The sequence below is a fragment of the Homo sapiens genome, chromosome 4, assembly GCF_000001405.40.
Source record: "Homo sapiens chromosome 4, GRCh38.p14 Primary Assembly".
Classification (NCBI taxonomy): Eukaryota; Metazoa; Chordata; class Mammalia; order Primates; family Hominidae; genus Homo; species Homo sapiens.
Window position 1 is genome coordinate 164,722,134 of NC_000004.12, and position 25,788 is coordinate 164,747,921.

General features: G+C 39.2%; 1 pseudogene, besides 2 other annotated features; it reads left to right on the forward strand.

Annotated features, from left to right (window-relative positions):
• CHORDC1P3 (CHORDC1 pseudogene 3) lies at positions 3,443-5,528 on the forward strand (annotated as a pseudogene).
• Positions 5,502-5,671: an enhancer, noted in NCBI's record as "experimental_75752 CRE fragment used in MPRA reporter constructs". NCBI's record gives its function as "activates a minimal promoter by MPRAs in K562 erythroleukemia cells, with activity observed for both the introgressed and non-introgressed 4:165648872 variant alleles {active_cell/tissue: K562}" and the evidence as "EXISTENCE:reporter gene assay evidence [ECO:0000049][PMID:34662402]".
• Positions 24,731-24,931: a silencer, noted in NCBI's record as "peak5145 fragment used in MPRA reporter construct". NCBI's record gives its function as "represses an SCP1 promoter by STARR-seq MPRAs in K562 erythroleukemia cells {active_cell/tissue: K562}" and the evidence as "EXISTENCE:reporter gene assay evidence [ECO:0000049][PMID:32103011]".

Sequence of the window (25,788 nt, forward strand, 5' to 3'; positions counted from 1 at the left end):
TACATCTTCCCCTGGTATGTGATTCCTTGGGAGCTGGTGTCACAGCTTGTCATTTTCTGGAGACTAATCAACATCAGGCAAGGCCTTCAAAAGGCTTTGCTTATGTTTAAACATCTAGAATATGTCAGACCTCACCAAAGCCATTGAAGCTACTGCAGAAGGTCCACCCTAAACAAGAACATAGACAGACGATCATGCTTTCATTTGTTCCAAATGGCTACCTTTCAAATCATAAACAGCAAAATGTACCCTGACTAGCACTCAAATATCAAAGGCACAAACATGATTGTTTTGTTGCGTTGCAAAACTCTCGCAGGGAAAGGAACCAGAAAAAGTAAGTGTGCTTGTTGTAAAGAAGGAAAGCTGAGAAAAGAGGAAGCTATTAAGGTATATCTTTTTAAATATTCTCCATGTCTCCCAAAATCATGTTATCAAACACAAATCACTTCCCACCTAGGCCAATTGCAAGATTGCTCCTAGCTGGCCTCCTATCCTGATCCTAAGACCCTAATTCTCATCACCGTATTCTCCCACACCAAACCATTCTTCACAGGAGTTGCCAAATGATCTTCCCAACTAAAGCATCACCATGGTAATTGTCCTTCTCCAAAATCTCTAATCCTCTAATGGGTCCCCGTTGCCTACCAGTTAAGTTCAACATTCACAGTCCTCCGTCATTAAACCTTTTTTGAGAGACAGATCAAACAGCTGGGAATCAGTCATGCCTTCTCTGCTTCTGGAAAACTCCTCTTAGTGCACACCATAAGTTGCCATTTGTTGTAGACATTTTTATTTGTAGCCTCTTGAGAAGATAGCTGAGTTAAGGGAAAAGCTGTGGAGTCTGCATGCTGTCACCATATTCTACTTCCTACCTGTGTGACCCAGGGCTAGTTGTTTAATTCTCTGTGCCTCAGTTTCCTCACCAGAAAAATAAGAAAATAACAGTGTCTGTGTCACTGGATGCACATATGGATATGTGAGTTAATATGGATGAAGCGCTTAGAACAGTGTGGACACTGAGCAGTGCCTAACCTTGTGCTGTCTAGCACAGTATCATACAATACAATATGGACTACTCAACAATGTCTCTGGATGAAAGAATCCATTGAAATTAAAAAATAATGTGGCCAAATGGAAAGGTTCTTCTGTTGAACACAGGAAATTCTATTAAAGTTGAAAATTTCCAAACTCTTTAGGGCTCTCATTATTAATGATCAATTGTAGAAATAAAATTCTAATTGTCATTTTCTCACTTCTAATAATAAAATTCAGCCAAACGAAAGAAAAAAGAAAGAAAGAGATTGATGGGAAAGAAAGTTCAGTCATCAATAGATGTCTCTTTTGTTCATTCGCCTTCTTATGCAAACACCACCCTGCCTCTTTGCTAATCCTTCCATTACAGAATTATGAACAACACTCCTCCAAAGATCAATCATTCTGCTTCCTTACCATAAAGTCTTATTATTTCATGAAGACACAATATCCCCCTCAAACTTTTCCAGCAAGAGTGGACACACCCCAATGCATTAAACAATAAAAGTAAAATAGATTCACATACATGTTGGTGCCGAAATATAGCCAAGCCATCACCTTCCTTTAGTCATTCCTGGCTTTTCTACTTGTTGCTGTTTACTTTTAGGTTTCCATTACGAATTTACACCAACCTCTTCCATCATGGTTTCTCTGTCCACTCACCTCCAGAACCCTCCCTCACCTTTCTGGATTTTATACTGGCTTTCTCCAACCCATTCCTTGCATTTTACTCTTAGGCCTTCATTAATATGTTCAAAACTACCATTTGAACTGGGAAATACAGAAAAGTGATCTGCAGTAAGAAAAGAAGAGTAAAACAGATTCACTGAGGGGACTTCCTGCATCTCCACAGCACTCTAGTTCCTGATTGCCCTCTGGAGACTATGAAGAGCCCCTGCTCTTAGAGTCCCAGGAGATCCTAGTGTCCTTCCCATTTAATTCAAGTTAGTTCAAATTAAGTTTCTATTAGAACAAATCGTTTTAGGTGTTTTTTTTTAAAACATTTGTCTAAAGTCAGAAAAAGTCACAGCGCTCATGTTAATGTGGTCTTCATTTATGGCATGAAGTAAGTTTCTTACTGTCTCTGCCTCTTTTTTTACTTAGCAAAATGAGAGACTGCATTTAATTTCTTCCCAGAGCTATGGGGAGAACAACTAACCAATCAGCATGCAGTGTCTTGAAGAAGCGTAGTGAGCATCCCCAACACGCTGTGGCACAGTATTCTCCTATGCACACTAATGAGTACTGTAACTAGAACGCCTCTCAGTAGCTCTTTAACCTAGGGGGACAACTCCCACTAGTACTGGATTCCAACTGGACTCTGTCTCCTCTAACTCTGTGGAAAGAATCCTAGAGGGTTCATGGATTATCTGAGCAACTCAAGCTAAAGACTTGGGTGATTGAACCTAGATTGGGATGTTGAGTATTAGAGACCCAAGTAATTACATATCCACAGGCTCAACTAACTTGGCAATCATGGTGCCAGCTAGAGTAAATAGCCTATTTTAAGTTCTTTCACCAGTCACTTTCTTCTCTCTTATGTTGTTGATGCATCTATTTTCTAATTTTGAACCATAAAGGCTTAATTCTTAATAAGTGTATATTTATTTAGAAACATTTTACAGATGGCCTAATTCTTAAATCCCTTCACTTTCTCTTAAAGAGTAAGCTTTTGTAATATTTCCATCTTGACTGTCTGAAAATAAAATTGGGGTACACCACAACTAATGCTCCTTGCATGGTCTCTCTCCAAATTTGATTGAATGATAATCCAACCCCTTATAAAAATCCAAAGAATCCCATACAAAAAAATGAGACTCCGTTTGACTTCATAATCAACCAATCAAAATTAAGTTCCCTTTCTCTGATTTATCTTTCAAGGAGGATTTAGCAATCTTGGTAAAAGAGCCGCAAACTTAGATTACAACTGATTTGAGAGTCTCCATGTAGCTCCCAAGTAACAAAAATATATGATCTTTGGATATTCACTCTAAAAGGAAAAAATACAATGTAAAAGAATTAGGAGCCATTTCCAGAAGTCAGCAGTCACCTCAGCCGTCAGACCTCTGCTTGCTACAGGAAGTGGTAAACACAGTGTCTTGTGGTTCCTGGTGTTTGGACCTTGCCTGTAATGGTGGGAAAAGAAAATGTCATTGCCTAGCAGTAACCGGGCTGCAGTCAGTGCTTCAATCTAGAGGCCAATTCCAATGACGTTTGTTCATCCCACCTAAGTATTCCAGTCTTTGTGATGCATTAGAGGGTTGGTCTAACTGTAAGAGAAGCACAACTGATGTTTCTGATTCCTTATGCATTGCAGGCTGGACAACAGGCTGGACAACACTATTCACTAAACAGAATAGTGAGATGTATGCATTGCAGGCTGGACAACAGGCTGGACAACACTATTCACTAAACAGAATAGTGAGACGTCACCTGAGCCAGTCAAACCTGAAGTCAAGGCTACAGAGAAGAAAGAACTATTTGAATCAAAACCCAAATTTCAGGAGCACATCATTCAAGCCTCTAACCCAGCAGAATCAATAAAAAGGCCAAGTCCAGGTAAACCAATGACAAATTTGGAACTAAAAAGTATCTGCCTGCCTAAAACAAGCATTTGATAAACTGTCGTAAGGGAATGAATAAGATAAGAAAGAGACAGTGAAGAAATCAAGATTGGGACCTCATGTGAAAATGGAGGGTGTTCAAAGACACCTCAGGGTGCATAGAATCTAGAGAAAGCCTGTGTCTATCATTCTGGAGCACCTCTTTTCCAGGAGGAGATGAAACTCTGAAACTATTGAAAATAAAAGAAACTTCTGATTTTAGTATGTTCTTAGCCCAAGAGGGCTGTGCAAAAAGGAAACACACGTAGACCATGGAAAAAAAATGCTGGGAACAAAGTTATTCCATGTAGACATGCCTGGCATCAGGCAAGAGGTCACAATTTCCATAGATGCTAAAAACTCACTTCCAGAACTTAGTTGAGTAGAAGCAAATAGTACATTATTAAATGCGTACACTGCATTTGAATGTGGCTCATTGCATGGTGGCTCATGCCTATGATCCCAGCACTTTGGGAGGCCAAGGCCAGTGGATCACTTGAGCCTAGGAGTTCAAGTCCAGCCTGGCCGACATGACGAAACCCGTCTCTACTAAAATACAAAAGTTAGCCAGGTGTAGTGGTACATGCCTGTAATCCCAGCTGATTGGGAGTCTGAGGCATGAGAATCACTTGAACCTGGGAAGCAGAGGTTGCAGTAACCGAGGTTGCACCACTGTACTCCAGCCTGGGCAACAGAGCAAGACTCTGTCTCAACAACAACATCAACAACAAAACCAACGCATTGTATTTGAAGAAGAGAAGAAATTTCATCAAAATGCAAAATTATGGATTGTGATTGTTGAAAAGTGAAGTTAGGTAGCTATGACTGCAATGCAGACAGAGAGCACAGTAAGAATAGCTGGTCCTATGCAATAGGCACACCTTGAATTGCCTGCAACCAAAAGGCAAGAAAAACAAACAGAAGATACAACAGATTGAGTGACTGAGCTATTGCTTATTTCAGAATTCTTAATAATGTGTGGCAAAGTGGTATCTTGCTGCTGTAATCTTTTGTTTTGTTGTGTTGTTGAATCTGGCATTTCAGGATCAACATCAGGTTCTTAAAAGCCAAAGTCAGTTCACCTTTTTGTGCCTCCCATCGTTCTTTTGAGTTATGTAAGATAGATTATTCATTTCTCCTCGCTGATAGAACCATAGTTGTGTCCTATACTTGGAGAAGCTGGAAAATAGCTCACCAACATAATTGCAGTATTTCTTAGTATAATATTATGTTAGGCAGAAAAACATTAAGGAACATTTGTTTTTGTCACATCTCTATTATCTCATAATTAGTAAGGCAAGATGAAATGTCAATTTTTAATCCTTTTTTATGGATTTGTATTCCTATAATATATGAAAATCTCTGAGGAAGAGATGAAGCTCTGCATTATTTTTTCTATGTGGGAGGGTTTTTATAGGAGGATTAATTCTGAGGTAGTATAGTAGGTGGTTAAAGGGAAATACATGCACTTATTAACAAATCAGAGTTTGTTTACAACTAATTGAATTTAAAAATTATATCAATACTTATATCGCTTGCCAAGCAGTATGATTTAAGAGTATAGGAAACAAATAAGAGTACAAAGGTATCAATTTGGTTAAAATTTACCATTTTATAAGACTAAGAAATAATGTAGAAAAAAACTCTTTCCTAATTAAGTGTCTTTCGGTGGTGTTATGGCAAAACTGTAACTTTTTACAGCCTAACCTCTTGTAAAGCCTTTAATTAGTTACATGTAAAAAAAATTATCTACCTCTGGCTTATTGGATGGAAAACTATATCTATAAAATTGTAGACTTAAAGGTTCATGGAAATACATTAGGGTATCAAAAAGTGAAATGTATGAACTTTATGACAACTATGATATATTCAATAAAATAGCTTAATTGTTTTTTAAAAAAGGATTTTAATAGGGTTTGAGGTAAAACTCATGCCACTGCTAACTGATGAAGGTCGTATTCCATAAAAACCCTCCATCCTTTTTCTTATTGATGGATGGCTCCAAAAAATTCTGTCCCTCCACTTTCACTCATGTATTGTGTCCTCTGTGAGCAGCCATATTTGTTAAAGCTGAAATGTCATGATGATGGATCACAACCAGACCCTCTATTTGGGGCTAGATACCTGAGCCAATCTGTCATTATGTGCAAATTATCTTCTTGCTGGATCTGGAGAGATAAATAAGATGCAATTGCACATGGTTCTATATCCTGTTTTAACTAAACGAACGTATGGCCCAATAAGAATAGGGGTCAGACATCATGGGACTCAATGGAGCCTGTGATTCTGGAAGTAAGCCAGCTAAGGCCCCTCTGAGCCTGCTCCTGCTTTCCTCTGGATTTTTGTATGCACAATGATACCTAAAAAACACTGAACACCGTTTGACTTAAATTCTATTTCATATTTGTTCACGTCATGCTTGAACTCTTAGCCTGGTCCTTATCTCTTCAAATTTGCCCGCATCTAACTCCAAAGATGATTCTTTGAGTTCATTTCAGACAATACCATTTTAGTCTCCAGCAGGAGCCCTGGGGAAACTCACCATGTCTAATTTATCTTCAGTGAATATCAAATCATATTCACCACATAAAAGTTAGGATGGCTTTATCAGTTTTATTAAAGCTGTAAATTTTCCTTTTAAAACCTGCCAAAGCCTATGCTTCTAGAATCCTCTAACAACAAATTAACTTTTTTTCCCTTCTTTCTCTGCTTAGTCCTTCAGCCAGTCTGACCAATGGGATACTCCCCATAGAGCATGTGTGAAAATTGTCCTGTAATTCAAGACAGCAGAGTGGTATTTCTGTTTTTCTACCTGGATTCACACTTGGCGCAGTGCTGTAGCTCAGAAAGAAAAACTGCACATCTAAGAACCACAGTTCCAGGCAAGGTGTTGGAGGCTTTGGTCTTACAGACATGAAAAAGCTGCTTTGAACCGCTTGACGTTTTCTACTCAGGAACCCCAAACTTGTGCCTACTGTTCTCGCTCCTTGTTAAGGCCTCCTTCTAAAGCCTCTGAGTAACATGATCTCAGCCCTCCCGAGCCTAGAGCCTAGATTCCCCCATTGCCTCACTCCTCCCACTGCCCTCACTATGCCTTGTGGGAGCCTCTCCAGGGGACACTATCTCCTGAATGCAGAATGTACCTTCACATCTTTCAACTTTTGCTCTGAATATCCCATCCGACTACATTCTCTTTGTCTTCTTTATCATCTGTTGAAATCCTATAGATCTTTTAGGGACCAGGCTGAATTCACAGGCTTCATTCTCCTCCAATGCATCTAATCACCTTTCCTCCTTTCTCCATACCTTTTAACACTTTGCATCCCTTTTCCCTGTCTATCTCTCTCTCTACTTTAAATGCTCATGATCATCCTGATCCTCCCAGCACCTGTCTCTGTCTTTCCAATACTAGGCATAGCAAACAAATTGCTTAAAAATCTCACGTTAGGCTGGGCACGGTGGCTCATGCCTATAATACAAGCACTTTGAAAGCCAAGGCAGGTGGATCATCTGAGGTCAGGAGTTCGAGACCAGCCTGATCAACATGGTGAAATCCTGTCTCTACTAAATACAAAAAATTAGCCAGGCATCGTGGCGCATGCCTGTAATCCCAGCTACTTGGGAGGCTAAGGCAGGAGAATCACTTGAACCTGGAATGTGGAGGTTGCAGTGAGCAGAGATTGTGCCATTGCACTCCAGCATGGATAACAAGAGCAAAACTCAGACTCAAAAAAAAAAAAAAAGAAAAAAAGAAGAAGCTCACATTAGAAATAAAAAGAAAGAGATGATGAGTTACAAGGTGAGGCATAGAATTTACATATGGATTATAGAGCTGAAAAAGAGATGGAAGTCAAGAAGTTTGGTGCATGTTCTAGGAATAAACCAAATACCAGTGGCTGTATCACAATAATGTCTTGAGGCTTCTCCACCCAGATGACACTCAAAGACTTAATATTTTATTTATTCAATTAGCCAACCAGTAACCTTTGGCAAGTTGAGGCCATTTTATAAAACCTGAACAATATGTTCATCGAATCTTTGTAATTAGGAAACTATATTTCTAAAACCAAAATAAAACCCAGAAGACTCACTCACTGTTGCATTTTCCGACATTACTAAGGAAGTAAGAAAGAAAATCACTGATAACGATGGAAATGTTGGTCATGGAGAAAATTCCTTCTTTTTTCCCAGTCATGAATGACAACCCTGGGCACAAAGATCATGGAATCTGTGTATTTCCTTAGTACCTAGAATACTACCTGAGACATGACAGGTCTTAAGTATATGTAGAATAAATGTTTTAGGAGAAAAATTGATAAACTGTGGTTCTTAATTAAGTGTGGGTGGCAAGGCAGAGAGAGAAGTGTAGAGCAACCACCAGTTTGGAGCTGGAACAGCAGAGTGGATGTTGGAGCTGTTGATTAAAGGCATTCGTAGCAGAAAAAGCGTGGGTTCTACAGGAAAGAATGTTGGTTTGGCTTTAGATATGTGTTGAACTTATGAGAACTTTGAACCCAATAGAGATGTCTATTAGCTAATTGATTACTCAGGTCAGGAGCTTAGGAGAGAGGTGGCAACCAGAAATTAAGGCATAGTTCCATGGTTGCAGACTGCTAGGTCACAGGCTTGTCTAGCCAGCACAACATATTTAAATTTTTGTGTCACTTGAAAACTTTAACAAGCAAGAAGTCTTCACATAAAAATCCAGATTTTCAGCTTCTCTTTAAAAAGCTGAAGATCTAGTAAAGTTATACCTACCTTCCCTCAAGCTAGCGAAGAGCGAGAGCTGAGAAGTGGCTGTCCCCTTACATGGAAATGTCCCCTTACATGGAAATGTCCCCTCAGTCACCATAGAAGCTTCATTTCATGTTGTTTTCCCCATGCCAAGGGTTCCAGGTACCATTGCCATCCTGTTTGTGTGGTTATTCTTAGAGGAGAGCTAAGAAAAATGAAATCTTTCTCTATCACATCTATCAAAAGTGGGAAAATTAAAACTACCAAGACTAGAAAAAAAAATTCTTATACTTATCTAACATCTTTGTTGTGTTGCCAGTCTAGCTTCTAAAGGCGTTCGACATTGTGACCTCTGACATAGTTTCAAGAGTTGTTTGAGTTACTGTCGTGATATTCAGCTTTGAGTTTCATTGCCCAGAACCTCAGCAGCAGATGGTTCTCTCTCAGAAGAATACAGTGGTCTTGAGGTCAAGTTCTGTTCTTCATTCAGCATTTTCCTTGATGCCATTGCCAACCATTTTTACATCCTTGTTTAAGCTGGTAGTTTATTCATAATAAAATTATATATATTGATGTTTTTCTGATTATATCAATGATGAATGCACGTTAAACTTTTGCTTGCTGGGGTAAATAAGGAAGCAGTAACAGTGAGCTAAAATTAGGTCATGCTTATTTTAGTAACTATAGGACTTGTGAACCTGTAAGAAATGTCACCTCTCTATGTGGCACAGACCAGTTTACAGAATTCTAAAACCCCTTAGATCAGTCTTCATTGCCTACTCCCAAACTTGATTCTTAGATACTTAAATAATAATAACACCTTCTTCTAGAATCCTAAAATAAACTATCCTACCATTCTGGAAAAATAAATTTTAAAAGCCTCCTTGAGTTTAAGAATGAAGCACATCTTGCATAAGGAGGAAGCACCAAATAGCTTTGTTTAATAGATACGAACAAACAACTTACTCTACTTGGGTTCAAGACTATAATTCTGCTGCGAACTTGCTATCAGTTCTTGGATAAACTAATTAACCTTTCCATAAAATAGGGGTTAAATAATAGCTGAATAATCTACCTCTTAGAACTGTGGGAGCTAATATGTAAAGTACTTTATAAAAGCATATGACATTTTTCATATTTTGATTGTCATTTCATTTTCTGGAGATAACAAATGACATATGTTGAATCTACTTTGTGTTCAAGCCAACCTTTTGTCAGCTTCCCTTTGGTTTATTAATACTACTTTTATTGTTGAACTAAAACAGAGGCTTTTTATGGGTGTTTGATAAGAAAATATTACCAAGAAAGTTGTTTTTACATTGAACCATTCTTTCAAATGGTCACTTTTTTAGCTTCCCCTTGTTATCTCTTAATACTGACTTTACATCTAGTATTTTGATTATTTTCCTAAAAAGTCTTCCCTTCAGAGGCTGGGAGCTAGTGCAGCTTACTAAAAGATTAAAAATAACTAACACTGCAAATAAAGTTCTGTGCTGTCACCCAGGTGCTAGGAATTGGAATTGCAATGGTGCCCCCTTGCGAGGATGTTCTGTCAATGCACCTCACAGACGAATGGAGGCGATGTGTTTTTAGAGGGGGATATTCTCAGCACTAATTTGATGTAGATGAATTCTGTGGCTCTTTATAAATGTAAGAAGCTCCCAGGTATGGCAGATGTTGACCACAATTCTCTTAACTTAGACAACAATGCAATTAGAAGTGGACTTTTATTATAGTATTTCTGGAGTTTTCTTTGTACTCGACTGTGTCTGTAATTGGTTGCCAGGAAACGAAGTTTTTAAAATTATATTTCAATTTGAATTTCAATTAACTTTAATAAATACATATATATGAATCCTCACTTGTCTACATGTTAGAGGGAATAATAGGCACTAATAACTATTACTTGTCCACCAAGTACAAAGCAATGGACTTCATATAAGTTTTTAAAAATATAATTTGTTATATCTATTAGATATTAACTTCCCGTTTCACTTAAAAAGAAACTGAAATTCAAAGAGGTTATTCAAATTCATGTAATAGTAAGTGACAAAGCTGGAAATCAATAAATCTTTGAGTCCTGTTAATTAAAGCAATAAAAAATATATATAAATATGTATATGTGTATCTACTATATAGATAGTCCTCAAAAAATTTGTCATCTAAAAAGTGATAGTAAATTAAAAATCCCAGCACATCATGTTTATTGATGTGTATAAGGTACTTTGGAAGCACTTGACCCAGACTGAGGAAACCAGGGATGGCTTCTTGCTAGAGATGACACCTGAGTTCAGATAGGAAGGATGAGGAGGAGTTCTGCGGGTAAAGTAGGAAGAAGGTAGGTTGCTCCTTTCTCAGGCTAAAGCCCAGATCTGTTCTATTCTGTGATTAGTACGATGAGGTGCAGGCCCATCTAATAAACGAAAATATGAGTCTTTTCTAAAGGATCAAAATTTGTTTCTCTCTGAGAGAAATCCAGTGATGGATAATCTATGGCTGTTCTGGAAGATCTGTGGTGTTGTTAGGAACCAGCCTCCTATCTTTCTATCGCACTATCCACATTTAAGACTTCAAGTCTAAGGGCTCCTGAAAGGTATGGAGCTCCAACCTTCACCTCCCCTGTTCAGTCCTAAGGAGGAGGAAAGGAAAGAGGCACAAAAAGAACACCCTCCAACACCAAGTCTACAACCATTTCAATGTCTTCTCCTGAGTTGCAAGCAGTACATCCACTGTCATATTGTTGGCTAAAGTACAGATATATGGCTATACCCAGTTGCAGGGGTGGCTAGAACTGTCTTTTATTGTATGCTGCAATGTGTACAATTAAAAAGTAGGAAGAAGAAAAAGGAAGAGAATAAATGAATAGGCTAGCAGCTTCCCCCAGACTCCAAATCCCACGCTTCTACACACTAGTATTGTCCCAGGTAAAATTTTTTAGGTAATTAATAAAAGAGAATAAATGAATCATAGCAAATAAATGTCAAAGAAGAAGAAATATTTTTCAATGATCAAATGAGATATCACAACAAGAAAAACTTAGAATATGTTTGTATTTGTCTCTCTCCCTAACAATAAGAGCAACATTGAATACCTGGAGTATATCTGCCTAAAAAATAATGTCTCAAACTTAGACATTCATTAGTAAACAAGAGGTCCTTCATTATCCAATTTGAGAAAGTATCTAAGTAAATTATTAAAAATCTGTTAATGTGAGGCTAGGCTTTTGGTGGCAACCTCAAAAACACCAACAGCTTATGTTAATATAGCTGTTTTGGTTTTAAAAAAAAAGTCACTTTCACATAATTTTTTTCTTTTTCAGAGATTTTCCAGAATATATTACCTAGTCACAACTTTCAAGCATTCTTTAAATCTTAAATACATGCCTGATAACATCTAATCGAAAAATGCAGACCCACTGGAAATTTATCCAAAAAAAACAATATTTATATTTTCAGGATAGAAATCAAACTGCCAAGCCATCCCTGATGTTGAATTACACCTAAAACACGGAATCTGAAAACATGCATGTGCTAAGTGTATAATCATTTAAGTCACTAATGAGGGCAGGACTGCCTGCAAGGTGTCTAAAACCTGCTTTTTGACATTGGAAGCTCTGTGCGATTTTATGCCTGGCGTGAGGTTCTGCTACGTGGCCTGGTTATTCACAGCTGGAGGCGGTATCTCTCCTCAATTTATTCCTGCTTCCTGAGGGGAAATGTGTTAGGTGGCCTGAGAGTCAAACTGCTGAAACGTTTTTCTTAGTGACAGATACTTTTAATAAGGTAAAAATGGCTACACATTTGCATTAGTTTTCTATTGCTGGGTAAAAATTACTAGAAGCATGGAGGCTTAAAATAAAACTGATTTAGTGGCTCACGTTAATGTGTTAGAATTTTAGGACAACATGACTGGGTTCTCTACTCAGGGTATCCCAAGGCAGAAATAAGGTATCAGCTGGACTGAGTTCTCATTTGGGGGCTCTGGGAGAAAATCCAATTCCAGATTGATTCCTGGTGTTGACAGAGTTCAGTTCCTTGCAGTTGTAGGATTGAGGTTCCCATTTCCTTGCTGGCTTTCAGCCGGGGGTCACTCGGCTCCTAGAGGTCACCCTCAGTTCTGTGCCACATGATTCCCTCCATCTTTAAGCCAGCAATGATGTCTCACATCCTCCTCACACTTCCGGTTTCTAACTTCCTTACTGTGACAAGCTGGAGGAAAGTGTCTTTAAAGTGCTCATGTGATTAGGTCAGGCCAGCCCACTTGATTTTCATCATCTAATCACGAGAATAAAATCCATCCTATTCTCAGTCCCAGGGATTATTCAGGATGTGTACCGCGGTGAGAAGTCTCGGAGGCTGTTGAGAATCTGCCTGCATAGCAGCTGCTCAGAACTTGGTTGGGGAGGGAATTCTAGGCTGAGAATGGCAAATCTCTCTTGGGATTTTAATTCTAACACTAATGGCAAATAGTAAATTTTCCTAGATAAACCGCTGCTGAAATGTCTCATTCCTGTGTTGGCAAGTATACATTCTCTACTTTTTCTGATTGCTCTGAATTAAATGAAGTTTAAAATATCCTAGAAGGACTGAAAGAGATTTGCTTGAGATGGGTTGTCACCTGGGGCTTGAGTCTAACAAAGCAGGAGATTGAGTTGTTACCAATTTCCAAACGGTATCTCAAAGAGCAGTTAAATATCTGATTATCTGATTACTGGATAAACGTCATTCCCAGAGTCCTCATATGGCACCATTTGATAAGCCTGCAAAGCAGGTAAAAGAAATACTTTTGTTTTAGTTTCCTTAAGGCACCCACCAGAGCCCTGAGACTAAGCTTCTACACCATGAGACCACTCCCTTCATGAGTCTCAGTTTCTGTTTGTAATTTTTTTTTTTTTGAGACAGAGTTTCACTCTTGTCACCCAGGCTGGAGTGCAATGGTGCGATCTCGGCTCACTGCAATCTCTGCTTCCTGGGTTCAAGCAATTCTCCTCTCTCAGCCTCCCAAGTAGCTAGGATTACAGGCACACGCCACCACCCTTGGCTAATTTTTTTTTTTTTTTTTTTTTTTTTTTTTGTATTTTTTGGTAAAGATGGGTTTCACCATGTTGGCTAGGCTGGTCCTGAACTCCTGACCTCGGGTAATTCACCCTCCTCGGACTCCCAAAATGCTGGAATTACTGGCGTGAGCCACTGCACCCAGCCTGTGATTTTCATTCACTGATATTTCTGAACATGTGCATCTACAAAATCCGAAACTCAATAAACGCATAACAGACCCCTTTTAAAAAGCTACCCATTGGCTAGGTGTGACCTGCCTGACCAACATGGTGAAACTCTGTCTCTACTAAAAACAAAAAAAAAATTAGCCGGCTTTAGTGGCTCACACCTGTAATCCCAGCTACTTGGGAGGCTGAGGCAGGAGAATCGCTTGAACCTGGGAGGCAGAGGTTGCGGTGAGCTGAAATTGTGCCAATGCACTCCAGCCTGGGCAACTTCATCTCAAAAACAAGAAAAAAAAAAGAAATTTGAATGGATATGGCAGTGAATAGATCATCTCTAAGTTACAGTATTCTGTATTTGGTTGTAATTTCTATTGTTCTGGCATATTAGATGTCGCCTCTTTAATCTGTTGTATTTTTTCATGCAAAACTGCTTCAATATTGCATCATAATAATTTGCTCAGTTTTCCCAAGGATTGAAATGAGTGCTTTATTCTTCAACAACATATGTTTTCTGGGAAAATATATTATTCTTTTGCCTACTATTTTCATTGGTTAAAAAATACACGTAATGTTTTAAACAAAAAAACTTTTTAAAATATGTTGTTTAAATTAATTTAAACTTTTAAAAGAGAAACTATAGCTAGCAAGCAAATATATAGAAATGTTTTAAATATTATTAATAAAATTCAAAAACACTCAAGAACATGGTACTGTGTTTAATATAATTGCTTTACTGAGATCTAATTCACATGTCATACAATGTGTCATTTAAAGTATATAATTGAATGGATTTTAATATATTCACAAAATTGTACAACTATTACCACAATTTTAGAATATTTTCATCACCCCAAAAATAAACCCCATATTTCCCCACAAACCGCCCTGCCATAGGCCACCACTAATATGTTTTCTACCTCTGCAGATTTGTCTTTTCTGGTCATTTCATATAGAAAGAATCACACAGTAGATGGTTTTTGTGACTGGCTTATTTCATTTAGCAACATTTTCAAGGTTTGTTCATGTTGTAGCAAATATTCAGTACTTTCAATGGTACCTTTTTTTTTTTTTTTTTTTGAGACAGAGTCTTGCCCTGTCACCAGGCTGGAGTGCAGTGGCATGATCTCGGCTCACTGCAACCTCCACCTCCTGGGTTCAAGCAATTCCCCTGCCTTAGCCTCTCGAGTAGCTGGGACTACAGGCATGCACCACCATGCCCAGCTAATTTTTTGTATTTTAGTAGAAACGAGGTTTCACCATGTTGACCAGTATGGTCTCGATCTCCTGACCTCGTGATCCACCTGCCTCAGCCTCCCAAAGTGCTGGGATTACAGGCGTGAGCCACCGCAGCCGGCTGGTATCATTTTTATCTAATAGATTATTCTTGAAATTTCATGATGTGATGTTGGTGAAGTGTTCCTCTCTATATTACTAGTATCCTGGTTTTACAAAGGAATTTGGTAACATGTACCTAGAGTCTGACAAGGACTTCCTCCTTAACTGGATACTAGTCAGGCTCCTCTAAGCACTCTTCTTGACCAGGCCTCATCCTTGGCCAACTGAGTCCAGTTTTAGCAAGAGTCCTAAGAAGCCAGTTTAGCAAGAATTCCTCTATCATTGATCAAGTTCCTCATTTTCCCCAGCTGTTGATATCTAATCAAGTTCCTCAGTAATTTTTCACTCACTGATCCCACCCTGCCTAGTGGCCATCAATCCCAGGGTGTCTTGGCTGTATTTAGAATACAGTTTTGTACTGAAGTCTCTCTCCTGTACTGCAGTAACTTGACAGAATAAAACCTATCTTGCCATTTTTAAAAAATGTCTGTTGCAATTTCTCTTTGGCAAGTCCAAAAAATACTAAACAAGTTTTGACTAAAAATTTTTATCTCTGGAAGTTTGTCTTAAGGAAATAATTTGGAGTCAAGTAAAAAGATTTATTTATGAATTTGATGGTAGTGAATAAAATAGCAAAGGAATGGGAACAGGTAATTGGTTCTTAAAATATTCAACACTAGGGGAATGAGTGAGCAAACCCACATGTAGCAACCCAATGATATATACTGTATTTATTAACAGATAGAGTTATGGAGCTATAGCACTATAGAAATGTTGCTAAAGTGCTTGGCATAAATTTGTGGACACTATAGTTCAAAGCATTTAAGAAATATAAATATGATATTCTTATCTACAAAACAGTGGCGTTTTAAAAAATTGAAGTTATTCAATACAAAAAAAGATGTAAGAGACATAATAATTATATATAAGGTGTGGACCCTGTTTGAAATCTAATTTAAACAAAATAAATGTAAATAATATATTTGGAGAGCAATAAATGAATTTTGAATATGAACTGGCTACTATATTATGTAAATGTATTTTACATTCTATGTTACAAAAAAAGTTATTAATTTTTAGAAATGTAAAATGAACTAGAAGCGAAATATCATGTTATCTGAGATTTGTTTTAAAATTCTCCTGCAAAGAAAAAAATTAGATGAACAGTTAAGGAAATCTGTTAGTAGTTGTTCAATTTAGGTATTCCAGTTTTCTATTGCTTTTTAACAAACTATCCAGAAACAGGGTCTTAAGACAGTAATGATCCTTATTTTGCTCAATAATTTGGAAGTTGACTCAAATCAGTTAGGCAGGTCTCTCTCAGGGTCTCTCCTGCAGTACTGGAGACAGTACTGGAACTGGGTCCTTCTTCACTCAAACAAATAGGAGCTGCAAGAGCTGAAACTCTTCAAGTGTGTCCCTTCCCTCCTCCTCTTCTCCTGCCTTCTCTCTCCCCCTCACCCCCAAATGGTTTCTCCACTTTGTCGCCTCAGGGAAAACAAACTTCTTATATTGTAACTAAAGGATCCCAGAGTAAGTGTTCCAAAATAAACCAGCAGAAATTATGTGTTATTTTTAAGCTATTTTTTGAAGTTATGTAGCATCACTTCAGTTTTACTCCAGACACAAAAGTCCACCCAGGTCAAGTGGAGGGATCCACCTTTTGATGAGGGCGTGGCAAGGTCGCATTGAAAGAATAGCGTGTGAGGCGAAAGTTACTGTTCCAGCCATCTTTGTTTGTTTTGTTGTGATACAGAGTCTCCCTTTGTCATCCAAGCTGGAGTGCAGTAGCACGATCTCAGCACACTGCAACCTCCGCCTCCCGTATTCAAGCGATTCTCCTGCCTCAGCATCTCAAGTAGCTGGAATCACAGGCGCACAGCCACCACACCCAGCTAATTTTTGTATTGTTAGTAGAGACGGGGTTTCACCATGTTGGCCAGGCTGGTCTCGAACTCCTGACCTGGAGTGATCCACCCGCCTCAGCCTCCCAAAGTGCTGGGATTACAGGTGTGAGCCACGGCGCCCAACCCCAGCCGTCTTTGAAAAATAATATTGCCACACGAGGTGATGAGTATTTGAAATTCGTCACAATATTCTTTTAAATATTTTGACATTTTTACTTTTAACTTGGGAAAAAAAAGACTAAAGGGAAATGTACCAAAATATGCATAGTAATTCCATTAAATAATTGTCTAACCTCTTAAATTAGCTATAACATCATATTACTTCTGTTACTTAATAAAAATAAATAATTTCAAAAAATGATTCTCTTAATTCCTTCCCAATAGCTGAACACAGCCAGGATATCCTAATATTCTAAAAATAAACCACAATAAACATCATCACTAAATGCTATAAACATTTCCTTATTTATTTTACATCTTTTTCCTTTTTCTATTCTAAAGTTGGAGCTGAGAGAGCAAATATTTTTATCCCAGCTTGGATAAGAATCAGATTTTACTTAAGCCGGGAGCCCAGAGTCTGTGGATTAGTTAATGTATATGTAAATTATCTAAAATGCTGTGCAAAACTTGGTGAACATGCATCAGTGCATCTTAGAGAAGAGAGGATCGGTGGGGCACAGTGGCTCATGCCCATCATCCCAGCACTTTGGGAGGCTGAGGCGGGTGGATCACGAGGTCAGGAGATCAAGACCATCCTGGCTAACATGGTTAAACCCCATCCATACTAAAAATACAAAAAATTAGCTGGGTGTGGTGACACGCACCTGTAGTCCCAGCTACTCGGGAGGCTGAGGCAGGAGAATCACCTGAACCCGGGAAGTGGAGGTGGCAGTGAGCTGAGATCGCGCCACTGCACTCTGCCTCAAAAGAAAAAAAAAAAAAGGAGAGGATCTATAGTTTCTATCAATTCTGAGATAAATAGTTTAAGAATCACAATTACTCTTGTTGTTGCAAAGTAAGTTTAACATTTTTCCTAGCTCTGTGGATTCACTGAAAGCATATAGATCACATTTCTACATCTCTGACCATTTATTTTCTCTTCATCCTCCCTTACCTCGTTCACATCCAGAAATACAGATTATACTTGCCAGCTTCTCCCTAGAGCCACAGGGTCACATGTGAATAGAAGGCTCTAGCTGTCCTTTTAATAATGCCCAAAGAGTATTCACAAGTCCAGGACCCTGTCTTTAAATCTGGGTATTTGAGGAAGAATATTCCTGGATGCTATTTCCTCCTACCCAATACTACATGGTACTATATTTTGTTAACATTTAGTTCTACTTAAAAATTATCAAATTAACGTTTTTGCCAGTTTTTCCGTGTGTTTTATTTTCCCAAGAGGTTTAGGATAGTTGTTTTGGGAAGTCAGGGACCCTGAATGGAGGGACTGGCTGGACCCGCGGCAGAGGAACATAAATTGTGAAGATTTCATTTTAATATGGACATTTATCCATTCCCAAATAATACTTTTATAATTTCTTACACCTGTCTTACTTTAATCTCTTAATCCCGTTATCTTCGTAAACTGAGGCTGTACATCACCTCAGGACCACTGTGATAATTATGTTAACTGTACAAATTGATTGTAAAACATGTGTGTTTGAACAATATTAAATCAGTGCACCTTGAAAAAGAACAGAATAACAGCGATTTTTAGGGAACAAGGGAAGACAACCATAAGGTCTGACTGCCTGCGGGGCCAGGCAAAGAGAGCCATATTTTTCTTCTTGCAGAGAGCCTATAAATGGGCGTGCAAGTAGGGAAGATGTCACTGAATTCTTTTCCTAGCAAGGAATATTAATATTAATACCCTGGGAAAGGAATGCATTCCTGGGGGGAGGTCTATAAATGGCCATTCTGGGAGTGTCTGTCCTATGCGGTTGAGATAAGGACTGAGATACACCCTGATCTCCTGCAGTACCCTCAGGCTTACTAGTGTAGGGAAGAATCCTGCCCTGGTAAATTTGTGGCGAGACCCATTCTCTGCTCTCGAACCCTGTTTTCTGTGGTTTAAGTTGTTTATCAAGACAATACGTACACTGCTGAACACAGACACTTATCAGTAGTTCTGCTTTTGCCCTTTGCCTTGTGATCTTTGTTGGACCCTTATCAGTAGTTCTGCTTTTTGCCCTTTGAAGCATGTGATATTTGTACCTACTCCCTGTTCTTACGCCCCCTCCCCTTTTGAAACCCTTAATAAAAAACTTGCTGGTTTGAGGCTCAGGTGGGCATCACAGTCCTACCAATATGTGATGTCACCCCCGGCAGCCCAGCTGTAAAATTCCTCTTTATAAGACATTTATGCAGCCAAAAGACACATGAAAAAATGCTCATCATCACTGGCCATCAGAGAAATGCAAATCAAAACCACAATGAGATACCATCTCACACCAGTTAGAATGGCAATCATTAAAAAGTCAGGAAACAACAGGTGCTGGAGAGGATGTGGAGAAATAGGAACACTTTTACACTGTTGGTGGGACTGTAAACTAGTTCAACCATTGTGGAAGTCAGCGTGGCAATTCCTGAGGGATCTAGAACTAGAAATACCATTTGACCCAGCCATCCCATTACTGGGTATATATCCAAAGGATTATAAATCATGCTGCTATAAAGACACATGCACACATATGTTTATTGCGGCACTATTCACAATAGCAAAGACTTGGAACCAACCCAAATGTCCAACAATGATAGACTGGATTAAGAAAATGTGGCACATATACACCATGGAATACTATGCAGCCATAAAAAGTGATGAGTTCATGTCCTTTATAGGGACATGGATGAAGCTGGAAACCATCATTCTCAGCAAACTATCGCAAGGACAAAAAACAAAACACTGCATGTTCTCACTCATAGGTGGGAATTGAACAATGAGAACACATGGACAGAGGAAGGGGAACATCACACACCGGGGCCTGTTGTGGGGTCGGGGGAGGGGGGAGGGATAGCATTAGGAGATATACCTAATGTAAATGATGAGTTAATGGGTGCAGCACACCAACATGGCACATGTATACATATGTAATAAACCTGCATGTTGTACACATGTACCCTAAAATTTAAAGTATAATTTAAAAAAAATTCCTCTTTATACTGTCTCTCTTTATTTCTCAGCCAGCCGACACTTATGGAAAATAGAAAGAACCTACATTGAAATATTGGGGGTGGGTTCCCCTGATAGATAGTATTTTTAATCAGATTTTTCCCCGGTTTTATCATGTTATGTTCTTTTGTTTCTCTCAGACCTTTCAGGGATGAATATTAGGTTCAAGTGATTTGATTTATATCCTACTACCTCTGATTCTAAGTTGGACAGTATTTATATTGTTTTGCAAGAGAGAACTTCAGGAATTTGTCCTAGCTATTAGTTTGCTCTTACAGAAAAAAAAAAAAAAAAAAAAAAAAAAAAAAAAAAAAAAAAAAAAAAAAAAAAAAACCTCACAAGGAATAAAAAAAAATTGAGAAAAAAGGACAAGCATGTGGTTTCTAAGAATGAATGTTCTTAGAAACCCAGCAAGAAACTCATGCTGATGTTTCCCAGTTACCTTTCCTACCTTCTTGGGCAAGTCCATTTGCTTCTGCACTTCAGCTACTATGGTCACACCATTAACCTCCTAGTCTGTATCCCCAGAACTCACACAGAAAGAAAGTATGCTCGTCCATAATCTCTTTTTTGCAATTCCAAAATTTAAAAGTGCTAAAATATGAATGTTTTTCCATAACTTATTTTGCATTCAAAAATGACTTAATCTGAATTCACTTGGTAATAAAACTTGACCTGTATTGATGTAAGGCTGCTTTAAATTACTATTTTTTCCTCTTAAGGAATCATAGGGTTAACTGTAGAACTGTTACTGTGTTTGATAACCAGGTGCTCTCCTAATCCTCCTTTGAGAGTTTTACATAATGTAGGGTTATATATCATTTAAACTGTCTAAAACAGAAATATCTGAATATAAAGCACATCTAGACCTATAAGTTTCCTATAAAGGATTGTAGATACATCCAGTGCAACATGCCAAAATGCCATCTCTATGAGAAATACCAAAACATTTAGCCAGACATGGTGGCACATCCCTGTAGTCCCAGCTACTCAGGAGAGTGAGGTGGGAGGATGGCTTGAGGCCAGGAGGTCAAGGCTGCAGTGAGCCACGATCATGTCACTGCACTCTAGCCTGGCAACAGAGCAAGACTCTGTCTCAAAACAAAACTACAGAATTGTAGATCAAAACTAACATTTCATTTCATATATTCAGTCTAAATAATTTCAATCATTAAAGCACTCTAAAGGCATTTTACCAAGTAATGAGATAGAAAAATATTAATTAACTTCTTAGAGGGGATGTTTTAATAAAATAACAATCTCAATAAGATTAGATGTCTTTATTAAGAACTAAGAAAAATCTGAAAGAGTAATAATCATAGCTAACATTTATTGAGCCCTGATAAATTGCTAGACACTCTATTAATTAACATTTATCTACATTATTTCATTAATTCCTCTAAACTACAATGTGAAGTAGGTATTTCTATCATACTTACTCTATAAATGAGAAAACTGAGGCACAGAATAGTTAACATACAAGGATACATTTACAAGTGGTTGAGATAAAATCTAAATCTACATAATCTGACTCCAGAGCCTGTACATCAAACCTATATGGTATATTGGCTCAGTAACAATAGGAAACCCGCCCTAAAATGTATTAAAATACTACAGTGGTGAACAGTTTAGTGCTGGCACAAAAATAAACAGACATGCTAAAACTAGCAAGATTTCCATGAGTGTTCCAGTTTTCTATTACTACACAACAAACAACCACAAAACGTAGTGGCTTAAAAATATATATTATCTCTAATGGTTTTATGACTTGACTGAGCTCAGCTGGGTAGTTCTTGTTTAGAGTTTTTCATGTGATTGCAGTCCAATGATGGCTGGAGCTAGAATCATCCAAAGGCTCATCTGGGATGGATGTCCAAGATGGCTGACTCACATGGTTGGCAGCTGATGCTAGTATTAGCTGGGACTGTAAACTGGAACACCCATACAAGGCCTCCCCATGTGGCTTGGGTTTTTCATAGGATGACCACTAGGTTCTACATGGAAGCATTCCAAGAATGATTGTCCTAAGAAACTCAGGCAAAAGCTGTAAGACATCATATGGCCTAGCTTCCGATGTTCCAGAACATCTCTTCTCTCCACATTCTATTGGTCTAGCAGGTCACTAAGTCTAGCCCAGATTCAAGAAGAGGGTAATTTGACCCTACTTCTTGATACAAGATACAGCATATGTACACAGGGAGGAAAGCAATTGATGGTGGACATCTTTGGATACTAGCTACCAAGGTTCACCTTCTGGTCACCACAATTTACATTTTTCCCATTAGCAAAATAGGCTTGTCACCATTCCCAAGACCCCTATGATGATATATCACCATGGCATCAGCTCAAAGTCTAGGATCTACTCATTTAAATCAGAGCCAGGTACAGCTGCAGGTGCAGTTCATTGGGTGTAACTCTTCAATATGGCTCTTCTCAGTCTGAAGAACTGTGAACTAAGTGCCTACACACTACATGCAATGATAGTGCAGAAATATAATAAACACAACAATTTTCCTCAAAAACAACGGGATAGGGGGGCAAAGAGACTGGTCAGAAGACACACAGCTGTCCCTGATTTATAGCAATTCTTAAGTCCTGGCAGGCATATGTCACTAGTTTCTTCATAAGGGAGTGATTCCTGTGGCTCTTGGTTCTACCCTCTGGACTTTCAGCTCTTCATTTTGAATCAATCTTCTTTCTTTTTAAGAAATGATTAATGTTTTACAGTTTCATAGCTTTCCCAAATTGCTTCCTAACTAGAGAAGTTTGGGAACTCTAAAAACTTTTTTCTTTCTGAACTAGTTCTGTCCTTTCAATCCAAGCACATTGTACTTCTAATGGTACAACCCTCTTAAAAACTTAACAAGTTCCCTACTAATCTTACTGGGGTTCACTCCTTTATACAAAAGCCACACACACAGTCTCTTTAAGACAGGCCTTCTTCACTACTATGGCCCAAGAGTCACAGTTCTGTGGGTGAAATGCCCTTAGGACTTTGTTCACCTGAGAGGATCTACAAGGCACCCCCTTGAGTCTTTCTGAAAACTCAATAGGTGGTTACAGATGCATGCTTAACTCTATTTTCACCCTGACATCACATCAGTGTTACTGGTTACCCTAGATTTGATCTTTGCTCAGAAGCCCTTTCTTTTTTTTTTTCTTCTTTTCTTTTCTTTTTTGAGACGGAGTCTTGCTCTGTCGCCCAGGCTGGCGTGCAGTGGTGCAATCTCGGCTCACTGCAAACTCCACCTCCCAGGATCAAGCGATTCTCCTGCCTCGGTTTTATGAGTAGGTGGGATTACAGGCACCCACCACCATGCCTGGATAATTTTTGTATTTTAGTCAAGACGGGGTTTCACCATGTTAGCTAGGCTGGTCTCGAACTCCTGACCTCAGGTGATCCGCCCACCTCAGCCTCCTGAAGTGTTGGGCTTACGGGCATGAGCCACTGCGCCTGGCCTGCCTTTTCTTGAGAAAATTTTACTGTCTGGAAACGGTTCAAAACTTAACAGTAACAGTACCCTCTCCCTCCCCCCACCTTTTTAAAAGTTCATCTCTCTCTAGCCATTACTTTAGCATATGAGGCTAAAAGAAAGAAGGTGGCACTTTCAGTATTCTATGTGGACCCCTCCTTAGCCAAACCCATTAGTTCATTTCTACTTTCCACATTTCTTCTGGCAACTTTGTTACCAAACTTTCTAACATTGTATAACAAGGCTCTGCTTTTCTCCAGCTTCCACTGGTAATTCCTCACTGTCCCGCAGGTTGTCACTAACAGTCTCCTCAAGGCCCTTTTGCCCCTTGCCTGCTGCCTAGTCCCAAAGCCAATGCCACAAGTTTTAAGTCTTTATTACAGCAGCATCCCAGTTTCAATAACAATTTTTGTTGCATGCATCTAATACTGTGTAACAAATCAACCCAAACTTAGATGTTTAAGGCAACAATTTATTATTACCTCTCATAGTCCCAGAGACATCAAGTACAATGGATGGAATGAGGTGCCATATTGAGAAAAAGGCCACTCCAGTCCCTTTTTACCACTTACTCCAACCACCACCCCCGAGAATGATGCCTGCCCAGCAAGAAATTGGAGGCTTTCTCTATGGGGAAACTGGAAATCGATGAGTCCAAGAAAAAAGAGCTCTAGATTAACATTTGGTAATCTCACAATCTTATGCCTAGGTTCCTCTCAAATCCCCCTAGAGTAAAACCCAGCAGCTGATGAGCCCTGCTACTCTTGAAGTGCCTCCAGTCAGCACTCTTAAATATGATTAGCCAGTTACAAATCACAAGACATTTGTACAGTCTCCAGCATGAAAGGAGAGACTAAGTAAATCAAAAGAACTCAAAGAAAGCAGAGTCAACGTATTGCATGATACTGAGAAAAAACAAAGACTGTTAAAAAACCTATAGTTAACAAGCTTGAGGATAAAACAATATTTCAAGCAAGAAAAAAGGAAAAGTTGCTACCAACAAAGAATATCCAGGGGTAGAGTGGCCAACCATCCCCGTTTGCCCAGAACTATCTCAGTTTTAGCTGAGAGTCCCATATTCCAGGAAAACCCTTAGTCCCAGGCAAACCAGGAGAGCTGGTGACCCTGCTGAAAAGTGGGAATGCTTTTTTTTTTTTTTTTAATTTATTTATTTTTTATTGATAATTCTTGGGTGTTTCTCACAGAGGGGGATTTGGCAGGGTCATAGGACAATAGTGGAGGGAAGGTCAGCAGATAAACAAGTGAACAAAGGTCTCTGGTTTTCCTAGGCAGAGGACCCTGCGGCCTTCCGCAGTGTTTGTGTCCCTGGGTACTTGAGATTAGGGAGTGGTGATGACTCTTAACGAGCATCTGTTTAACAAAGCACATCTTGCACCGCCCTTAATCCATTTAACCCTGAGTGGTCACAGCACATGTTTCAGAGAGCACAGGGTTGGGGGTAAGGTCACAGATCAACAGGATCCCAAGGCAGAAGAAGTTTTCTTAGTACAGAACAAAATGAAAAGTCTCCCATGTCTACTTCTTTCTACACAGACACGGCAACCATCCGATTTCTCAATCTTTTCCCCACCTTTCCCGCCTTTCTATTCCACAAAGCCGCCATTGTCATCCTGGCCCGTTCTCAATGAGCTGTTGGTCACACCTCCCAGACGGGGTGGTGGCTGGGCAGAGGGGCTCCTCACTTCCCAGTAGGGTCGGCCGGGCAGAGGCGCCCCTCACCTCCCGGACGGGGCGGCTGGCCGGGCGGGGGGCTGACCCCCCCACCTCCCTCCAAGACGGGGCGGCTGGCCAGGCGGGGGGCTGACCCCCCCACCTCCCTCCCGGATGGGGCGGCTGGCCGGGCAGAGGGGCTCCTCACTTCCCAGTAGGGGCGGCCGGGCAGAAAGTGGGAATGCTTTAATAAATTAAGGACATGACTTAAGAAGAAATAAGAAGCCATTTGAAGGGTTGACAAATAAAATTGAGGATAAAATGCAGGAATAGAATGAAAAGACAAAGAAAAAATAAAAGGGAAAAAATGTTTTTTGAAAACAGAGACTCTAGGAGGTAGATCATATGGATAATAGGAGTTCTTGAAAGAGGAAATCGAATATAGAAGGGAAGAAGCTATCAAAGAACCAATACAAGGACATTTTCCAAACTGGAAGGACCTAAGTTTTCAGATGAAAAGGGCTCGCTGGAGGTCCAAACAGTGTTTGGGAAAAAGGAATGGCAATGGGGACTTTCCTCAAGAGTGTTAAGAGCTGTAGGAGTGAATAAACAATTATTAAAGTGGAGAAGGAGAGGAGGAGTG